This window comes from Homo sapiens, chromosome 19 (assembly GCF_000001405.40).
Source record: "Homo sapiens chromosome 19, GRCh38.p14 Primary Assembly".
Classification (NCBI taxonomy): domain Eukaryota; kingdom Metazoa; phylum Chordata; class Mammalia; order Primates; family Hominidae; genus Homo; species Homo sapiens.
The window spans coordinates 41,490,659-41,501,249 of NC_000019.10; the positions used below are offsets into that span (position 1 = coordinate 41,490,659).

Here is a 10,591-nt window from a genome sequence, read left to right on the forward strand (position 1 = left end):
AGTCTCAGGATACAAAATCAATGTACAAAAATCACAAGCATTCTTATACACCAATAACAGACAAACAGAGAGCCAAATCATGAGTGAACTCCCATTCACAATTGCTTCAAAGGGAATAAAATACCTAGGAACCCAACTTACAAGGGATGTGAAGGACCTCTTCAAGGAGAACTAAAACCACTGCTCAATGAAATAAAAGAGGATACAAACAAATGGAAGAACATTCCATGCTCATGGGTAGGAAGAATCAATATCGTGAAAATGGCCATACTGCCCAAGGTAATTTATAGATTCAATGCCATCCCCATCAAGCTACCAATGACTTTCTTCACAGAATTGGAAAAAACTACTTTAAAGTTCACATGGAACCAAAAAAGACCCCGCATTGCAAAGTCAATCCTAAGCCAAAAGAGCAAAGCTGGAGGCATCATGCTACCTGACTTCAAACTATACTACAAGGCTACAGTAACCAAAACAGCATGGTACTGGTACCAAAACAGAGATATAGACCAATGCAACAGAACAGAGTCCTCAGAAATAATGTCACATATCTACAACTATCTGATCTTTGACACACCTGACAAAAACAAGAAGTGGGGAAAGGATTCCCTATTTAATAAATGGTTCTGGGAAAACAGGCTAGCCATATGTAGAAAGGTGAAACTGGATCCCTTCCTTACACCTTATACAAAAATTAATTCAAGATGGATTAAAGACTTACATGTTAGACCTCAAACCATAAAAACCCTAGAAGAAAACCCAGGCATTTCCATTCAGGTCATAGGCACGGGCAAGGACTTCATGTCTAAAACACCAAAAGCAATGGCAACAAAAGCCAAAATTGACAAATGGGATCTAATTAAACTAAAGAGCTTCTGCACAGCAAAAGAAACTACCATCAGAGTGAACAGGTAACCTGCAGAATGGGAGAAAATTTTCACAACCTACTCATCTGACAAAGGGCTAATATCCAGAATCTACAATGAACTCAAACAAATTTACAAGAAAAAAACAAACAACCCCATCAAAAAGTGGGTGAAGGATATGAACAGACATTTCTCAAAAGAAGACATTTATGCAGCCAAAAAACACATGAAGAAATGCTCATCATCACTGGCCATCAGAGAAATGCAAATCAAAGCCACAGTGAGATACCATCTCACACCAGTTAGAATGGCGATCATTAAAAAGTCAGGAAACAACAGGTGCTGGAGAGGATGTGGAGAAATAGGAACACTTTTACACTGTTGGTGGGACTGTAAACTAGTTCAACCACTGTGGAAGTCAGTGTGGCGATTCCTCAGTGATCTAGAGCTAGAAATACCATTTGACCCAGCCATCCCATTACTGGGTATATACCCAAAGGATTATAAATCATGCTGCTATAAAGACACACGCACACGTATGTTTATTGCGGCACTCTTCACAATAGCAAAGACTTGGAACCAACCCAAATATCCAACAATGATAGACTGGATGAAGAAAATGTGGCACATATACACCATGGAATACTATGCAGCCATAAAAAATGATGAGTTCGTGTCCTTTGTAGGGACATGGATGAAGCTGGAAACCATCATTCTCAGCAAACTATCACAAGGACAAAAAACCAAATACCGCATGTTCTCACTCATAGGGGGGAACTGAACAATGAGAACACATGGACACAGGAAGGGGAACATCACACACCGGGGACTGTTGTGGGGTGGGGGAGGGGGGAAGGATAGCATTAGGAGATATACCTAATGCTAAATGACGAGTTAATGGGTGCAGCACACCAACTTCACACATGTATACATATGTAACAAATCTGCACGTTGTGCACATGTACCCTAAAACTTAAAGTATAATAATAATAAAATTAAAAATGAAATGAAATAAAATAAAATAATGTGTTGTAAGATGGTATTTGCAAACTTCACGGTCACCTCCAACCAAAAAAACCTACTATTTTCTTTTATTATACTTTATTTATTTACAGATGATGTATTTATTTACATCATTATTTACAGATTTACAGATGATGTATTTATTTACATCATTATTTACAGATGATGTATTTATTTACAGATGATGTATGATATCTCCTTTAAGTGGGTAAAAATTTGAGAGCAGAAAACTCTTGTTTTGTTTGTTGCCATATCCATAACACCTGGCCCAAGGCCTGGCATGAAGTAGCTGCTTTGTCAATATGCCATTGAATGAATATTTGAATGAATGAATGAACTATGTGGTTTGGGTAATCCTCACTGAGAAGATTACATGCAAGCTGAGACCTGAATGATAAAAGAAGATCATTCAGGAGATCTGGGAGATCTGGGTGAAGAGGATATGGCTTGAAGCCACTGCACGTGCAAAGGCCCTGAGGCAGGGGTGAGCTTCGCAGGGAGGTGGAGCAGCAGGCAGGAGGCCAGTGTGGATGAATCCAAGGGAGTGAGGGGAAGAGTGGGAAAGGATGAGGGCCAGGTCTAGACCAGGATGAGGCACAGAAGGGTTTTGCCACTTTCTCCACTGACAGTGAAGCCTTCGTGCTCACCCTGTGAGTATGGGTGCACGTGTGATGTCGACAACTAAGGTGTGTGGGGAAGGTGAATTTATTTGAATTTATTCAAAACTTGATAAGCAAATTTATGAAAAGTTAACTTATCTTGTCTTATCAACCCAGGACTAATGTTTCAATAATTAGCTTGGAAAAATGAGGAGTTAGCCTCTATGACTTGTGTAATAGCAGTGAAAGCTCTCTGTTCCAGGTTAGGGAGGGATGGAGTAGCCCAGTTTCAGACCCCAAGTGGGTGAAGAGGTGTCCATGGGAGAGTGTCTCAGTGTGAGTGTCAGAGCCCATACAAGAGTAGAGCCCTCCATGGAGGTGCCACTTGGGGTGGGACCTCAGAGTCCGAGCAGGCCATGAGGCCATCCACACAGGGGCAGTCCAGCACATGGAGTCAGAGTCAGGCATGGAGAAAAGGACATCATTAATAGGGCCTCTGGATGTCATACCCTTCTCAGACTAAGTATTTCTGCCCTAATTATATACCAGGATCTGACCCTCTTGCAGATGATAGTCAATGATTCTTGACAGGAGAGTAATTGCACCACTTTTCTGGTGGTCTCTTGACGCAAGAGAACAAACACACTGAAAAGAAATGGCAAGTCAACGTTTAAAGCAACTTCTTTGTCCCTTGTTGAAACCATTCTCTTTCTGGGGTATAGACCTCTAAACCCAGAACTCTAACATCTTTTTTGTTCGTTTTTTGTTTTTTTTTTCAAGACAGAAGTTTTGTTCTGCTTGCCCAGGTGGAGTGCAAAGGCAGGATCGGGTCACTGCAGTCTCTGCCTTTTGGGTTCAAGCGATTCTCCAGCCTCAGCCTCCCGAGCAGCTGGGATTACAGGTGCTGGCCCCAATACCTTGCTAATTTTTGTATTTTTAGTAGGGACGGGGTTTCACCATCTTGGCCAGGCTGGTCTCGAACTTTTGGCCTCAGTGGATTCACCTGTCTAGGCCTCCCAAAGTGTTGGCAGTACAGGTGAAAGCCACTGCACCCAGCCCACAACACTAAAATCTACAAGGATGGGAAGCCCAAAGCTTTCAAATGGGCTTCGTGGATGAAGGTGAATGAGTGGGAATATTCCCATTTCCCCCATCTGGATCACAGGCCCATGTGTTCCAACTTGTAGAAATACAGGACCATAAAATGGCATTTTCCTTTTTATTAGAGGATATGCCCAGCATGCCTCAGGCTGTTGCATTTCTGAACACTTCACAGATATGGCACATCGCTGAAAGGCAGAGACATGGAAAATCCCCATGACCATCAAACTCTTACACTTCAGTATAGATTTGTTATGAGCAGAGCTAGGACTACAAGGAATGTCATTCTCACCATTGGATGTCATTGGTATCAGTGTCGACAGGTATGCACTTTCAGCCTTTGGAACTCGCTGTGTGATCCTTAGGTTTTCAGAAACCTTACCATTTCCTGTCCATCAGACCTGGTAATGACATTGTTATCAGTAGAATGGAGATTGGGCTGGGTGCAGTGGCTCAGGCTTGTAATCTCAGCACTTTGAGGCCAAGGTGCTTGGATCACTTACGCTCAGGAGTTTGAGTCCAGCCTGAATAACATGGTGAGAGCACGTCTCTACAAAATATACAAAAACTAGCCCAGCATGTCGCTGTGTGTCTGTAGTTCAAGCCACTTAGGAGGCTGAGGTGAGAGGATGCCTTGAGCCTGGAAGCTCAAGACTACAGTCAGCCCAGATAGCCCCACTGTACGTCAGCCTGGCTGATGGAGTAAGATGTTGTCTCATCAACAACAACAACAACAACAAAATTTGAATGGAGAATGGAGCTGTGTATTATGTTGCAGAATGTTCTGATGGGCTTGGTTCCTCAGGACTACTTGGATGGCTAATGAGAGAGACGGGAAGACAGAGAGCTTGAGATTGTGAATAAATACTGCTGTTGTTCTCATGTCAATGCCAATATTACAGATCCACCTTCCTGAAGAGTTTTGCAAAACATGGATTTTGCAGACCAACAATGCATACAGTGTGACCGAGGTTGTGTTATTTATTGCTATGGTGAGAGAAAACATCCATCACAGCTGCTACAGTGGGGTCACACCTGATGACGTTTGCATTACCTTCCTGCCATCTGCCATCATCCTTCTGGATTTTGAAGATACCAGACTGGTGAATTCCATGAAACAGATGACTGGACCCACAGCACTGGTCCTTGAGTTTTTGATGGTGGTGCTCATCTCTGCCATCTATATACAGGAAATAATTTGCCTTGAGATTTGATATTGGTTTTTATTGATTATGTTGTCTTGGATGAGCATTGATAGACTTAGGCTTTCCATTTGCAATTGTTTTTTTCCTAAAATTATAAGTCATAGCTCACAGGCCACAAAAACACTGTAAGTATTTTTCCTGTTTCTAAGTCTATGACTCCTGATTATACATGAGAGCCTAGGAACATAACCACAGAGGAGAGAGGTTCACAAACAGAGTTCACTCACTTAGAGGCAGAAGTTGGCAAGGAATACATCAATTTCCTGACCCCCACCCTTAGGCCATTACTCTAACAGGGGTCATGGTGATGTTTCCAAACCATGGGTTTTATGCCAACAAGGCCTTCTTGGCCAAGAGCTTCTAAAAGACAACAATACTCACCTTTGTTCAGTGCTCAGTTACCTAAGCAAATGACTGTAGGTCTTTTCCAAGGGAAACTGGAGAATTCCAAACTTGTACACCTTCCTTGGTTTTGCATAAACCTGCCTCATGAGAACCCAGCCTCTTTTTGAGTTAGGCCTTCTCGTGTGAGAACTGTCTCAGATTTTAACTGTATGAAGGATGATGACTTTCTAAGGGGCTGCTGACATCTGCCTTCTGTTCCTCTTGATGATTTCTATTTCCTGTTAATGCAGGGACACACCTGTCTGCCATTTATATCTGTTGTCGCTAATGAAACACGCTCTAAGAGGTAAGTCCTAGATATTGTAGGGCAGTCCCCCCGTGATGTACTCTGGCACTGGTGTCACCTCCTTATACCCCCTTGCATTGATGGCAAAGTGCTGGCCTCTGCCATTCCCACATCCTCTCACCACTTTGGTGCTATGGATGGAGCCCATCTCTGTATCAGTGTCCCCTGCTTTGAGCTCTGACCTATGAAGAATGTCCAGCCCTTGCATCTCAGTGATGCTGGTGTCCCTCTCACTGGTGCAGTGGTCATGGGCAGTCTTTTTTTTTTTTTTTTTTTTTTTTTTTGAGACGAAGTTTTGGTATTTTTTCCCATGCTGGAGCGTAGTGGTGTGATTACAGGCATCCAGCACAACGCCGGTCTAATTTTTTGTATTTTTAGTAGAGACAGGTTTTCACCATGTTGGCCAGGCTGGTCTCTAACTCCTGACTTCAGGCGATCCACCCACCTCAGCCTCCCAAAGTGCTGGGGTTACAGGCATGAGTCACCCCGCCCGGCCATCATGGGTAGGGTTCAAGATCATAGTCAGCTCCTGGTTCTCCTTCTATAGTAGACCCAATCCAGGATGCCCACTGATTGAGGTTGGAGCTGTGTCCCCACCCACACCTCATATGGAATTGTAATCCCCACTGTTGGAGGTGGGGCTGGCTGCGCTGGTGACAGTTGAGTGGATTATGGAGGCGGATATTTCATGAATAATTTAGCACCATCCCATAGGTGCTGTCCGGTGATGGAGTTCTCAAAAGATCTACTTGTTTGAAAGTGTGTATCACCTCTCCTACCACTTGCTCCAGCTCTGGCCGTGGAAGATGAGCCTGCTTCCCTTGTACTTTTTGCCATGACTCTAACTATTCTGGGGCCTCCCCAGAAGTTGAGCTGATGGCCAGCATCATACTTTTTGTACAGCCTGTGGAACCATGACCCAATTAAACCTGAGTTTTATAAATAATTACCCAGTCTCAGGTAATTCTTTATAGCAGTGCATGAACAGACTAACACATGCACTTCTCAACTATGTTATTCTTTACCCCAAAGCTATCCATCTGTACAATTTGGATCTGAGCCTAACCACCTGCAGTGAGCCCACACTCCTCTGGTTCTGGGCATATTTTTCCACTAGCCTAACCTCACATCCAGTGCTAGCCCCAATTTGGCAATCTCAGGTCACTTACACTACCCTCCAACTTGCCACAAATTCAAAAGTTCCCATCACTCTCAGGGTGACTATGGAGCTAGCATCATTCACACAACTCAAAAAAATCACTCTGTTTGTTTTACAGTGTTATAACAGCTAAAATATACAAATCCAAAGAAGCCAAAGAGACAAACAAATAGGGCTGGGTCAGAAAGGATCCCAGACAGATGACTCCACTGCCTCCTCAAGGCAGGGTGAGGGGGAATGCATCTCCCGGCTCCACTGATGATGGTCTCTTTGTGATGAAGCTTTGTTCCTGGGTCTCAGTTGTACATGTCCTTTGGCTCTAGGAGAAGATGATGCTTTCCAACTCTCAAACCTGATTTATTTCTTATTTTTTTGGAAGCAGAATCTCACTCTGTTGGCCAGGTGGGAGTGTGTGCAGTGGCACAATCATACCTCATTGTAACCCCTAAGTCCCTGACTCAGGTGATTTTTTTATCTCATGCTCCCCATTAGCTAGATCTACAAGTACAGGTGCGTGCCACCAAGCCCATCTAATTTTTAAGAAAATTTTGTTGTAGAGATGAGGTCTTGCTCTGGTGTCCAGGCTGGTCTGGAACTCCTGGACTCAAAAGATCCTACCTCTTCAAGCTTCCCCCGAATCTCTGGATTATAGATGTGAGCCACCACATCTAGTCCCAACTCTCACACTTTAAATTGCTGAGTGACAGGTGACAGCCTGACTTTTCCTCTTTCAATGCATCAATGGCACTCGTTTGCAGCCATCCAATTCCACATTCATATCGCTATTATTTACCTACAATCTTCCAAACCAAAAGCAATGTACCTTCAGTGCTTCTACCGTAGTTCATCCAAAATTACCCCAGGTGAAACATCGGTGGTTTCACAGTGGTCACATGCCCTAGCGACTCTGTCCTCCAACTGCCAGCAGTGATTGTTGCTCACTGAAGTCCTGTGGGGAGTCATCCAACCCCAGAATCCATACTTAGGGTTGACTTCCCAGGACCATTGCCAGTAGCAATTGATAGCTCATGGTTTCTAGAAGCAGAGCATGAGATAGGGAATCAAGATGTGCATTGAGGGAGTGCTCCCGATAGCTCAGGCAGGGCAGCTCAAGGAAACCAGGTAACATCAGGTCTGGCTGAAGACCTGCTTAAGCCTGATCCCAAGCAGGCTCTGGAGCACAGCCTTCAGCACAGAGGTGGCCTCATCTTGGTCACCCTGAGGTTTCTGTGCCAGTGATTCCCTGGCTGCTAGCTGTTGCCAGGAAGGGGGTGATTAACAACCATCTGGGCCATGTGACTGCACGACAACTGAGTGCAAATCTCTCTAGGAGAGGCACCTACCAGGTGTGAAGGAGGATCCTGGGGAAGGGGGTCTGGGCACAGCCATTCCTGTAAATGGCTTTCAGGAAACACATGAGAATCTTTGGGATGTTGGAAATTAGGGGTGGACATTGAGAGAACAAAATGTCCATGGAAAATATTATAAATGTCCATGGAAAGACAAAACGCTGGGCAGAAAGGCAGTGAAAGATCATAAGGGCTCCATAACGTCCTCCGTGTGACAAAGAGTTCATTAAGACAAGGGAGGAACCCTAGACCCTGCTTAAAAGGACGTGGCTTCAGGGAGAGCTCCTGTGGGCACACTCAGAGTTGAGGTAAAACTCCTGGGATTTTGTCTAATTCCAGTGTACTGGGTAGGGGTAGACTTTTGGCAATGTGAGGTCAGGGGTATCAGATGAAGGGGTCAACAAATGCCTGGACAGGATTCACGAAGATGAGAGGGACGTTCGAATTCCTAAAAAGCTGGTGGTCAAAAGAATGAGGATGAAGAGGAGGGTGTCCTGAAACCTCGGAGCCAGAAGTGGGGCTGAAGGCAAGAAGCCTTTCAAGGGAAGAAGGGAGTTTGGAAAGAGATGGATATCAGGCCAGAAACCTTCCCCCAACCTGGTGCCCCAAAGCATTCTAAAAACGGGGGTGGGACACAGAAGAGGTTGTCTGAGCAGAGGAGGATCCCGGAAGCCAGCGTGGGGGAAGGAAGAGGGTATGAGGCTGGCATGAAGTGGGGACTAGAGAAAGGGTGAGTAGTTTTCAGAGAAAAGGCCAGTGTCCAGGGCTGTCCAGGAGCGAATCTGGTCACTTGTTCTGAAACAGGGGTCCGGGTCTGGCAGTGGCAGCATGGTGGGGTGGGTGAGTGGCACTATGGAAGAGCCAAATCTCCACCTCTATCCTCAAAGCCTTTCTTCCACACAGCTTTCCGGTTAGCAAGGCTCCATGAGAATGGTTAGTTCCTGAAAATAGTGGACCCCAGAAGGGCTGACTAGGAGCGTGGGCATAGGGAGAGGGAGGGGATCCAGGGCCCGGAGGACCTTGCCAGAGCGTGTAGCCCGCAGAATTGAGGAAACGAGAGTGGGGGTGGGGATCAGATCCCAGCATTTATGGAGTGACTGCAGCCCAGAAAGGTGGAAAAAACTAAGAAGGGGACCCCAAGGGCTTGAAAGACCTTGCCGAGTGTGGAGCCCTGAAGTGCGCAGGCCACTCGGTTGTCCCTCAGGGGCCTGGGAACCTCGCGGAGTGTGGAGTCTCTAGAACGCAGTCCACTCCGCTGGGGAGGTGGATTTCAGGCCAGAAACCTTCAGGGACCTGGAGCCCCAACACATGCTAAAAACAGGGGTAGGGACACAGATCTGAAAGATTTTGGAGTACTTGGAAGGCAGAAGGGAAACTTGAATAAGTCAGGGTGGAGCGCTCAGAAGATGGCGGAGACAGCCGAGCTGGAAGAATCCAGAAAGAGAGGCGGGGACAGGGGATGGGGGCTCAGACGCATTCAGAGCGCACAGGGCCCCTCCAAGGTCGCTTTCACACTGCCGGGTTTTCCTCTGCGGCTGCAGAGCTGCACTTTTCCTCTGTCCCAACCAAAATGTGACCCTTGAAGGTCTCATCCCCCATGGACTGTATCTGGGCCTCATTTATTCAGGGGCCTCAGTCCTCAAGGAGGCCATTGTCACTCTCCTTCCCGATAGAGTCCTCTCAAATTAGTAAGGGCCCCTCAAGGAGCCCAGGGTTTGTCTTTATCCCTCCCTGAAACTTCTTCGGAAGGAGGAAGTTCCCAAACACCCCCAGGCTTTAGTGCCAGAATTTCACCCTCTGAAACCTCCTCCTTCCCTAGACCCAGTCCGGCTCCTCATCCTCAGTCCCTCAGACCCCATGGAGGTGTCCCCTGCAGTGGGTTTTCTCCAGATTGAGAGCCTCCCCTCCTCAGCACACAACCCAGAGACTCACCCTGTTCTGAGCAGCGAGCCACCGCATAAGCAGACATGAGACCTCACTCCAGTCAAATAACACTTTATTTTTGTAAATTCAATTGTTTTGTTCCCGGAGGAAAGGGAGGAGCTCAGGAGAACAGTGTCGTCAAAATTTCCTGGTGGTTGTTTAATCACAGCCGCCGAGTAGGTCAGAAAACTCATCCGGATTACCCTCTTCCTCCTGAAATTAAAGGAAATGTGCAGGACTCATCAACTGGTAAGGTTTCGTGACAATTGTGCGAATATCGTGCTGGATATATGAATAGAAAGTTAAATCTGAACGACCTGTGCTGCTTGTCCAGACATCATCTTCTTCAGGAAATATGAGATGTTTCTGAAGAGTTTCAGCAGCTTGTCAGGAAAGGACTCTGCCTTTTCCAGTACATAGATGAGCATCATCTGGATTAGAGACCTCAACACGGCGAATACAATTTCCGTTGCTAGTTTTGGGACACATGTCATGAATTGGTCGGCACACCATTTTTCTAACATATCGGTCAGAATACTGGCCACTTTAGGCACTATCTCTTCCTTGGCCAGGTTCTTTATAAGTGAAATAAATGAGCCCATGATATGTGCAATGAGCGTGCTGTTGGTTTCAGGCAAAGTTATATAATGAGAGCGTTCCTGGAGAGTGGAGGCA

The 10,591-nt window shown here is 45.7% G+C and overlaps 1 long non-coding RNA gene across 2 annotated transcripts in view; it reads right to left on the reverse strand.

The window, feature by feature from the left end:
- The window catches only part of PCAT19 (prostate cancer associated transcript 19), a 46,481-nt gene extending 36,490 nt beyond the window's left edge, over positions 1-9,991 (reverse strand). The window contains exons 1-2 of one of the 2 annotated variants that reach the window (NR_040109.2): positions 9,926-9,991; positions 3,882-4,769 (exon numbers count right to left, since the gene is read on the reverse strand). This is a non-coding gene — a long non-coding RNA (prostate cancer associated transcript 19). The remainder of the gene's footprint in view (positions 1-3,881; positions 4,770-9,925) is intronic. The other variant, NR_136334.1, reaches the window with a different exon arrangement.
- Positions 9,992-10,591: the final 600 nt, after the last annotated feature.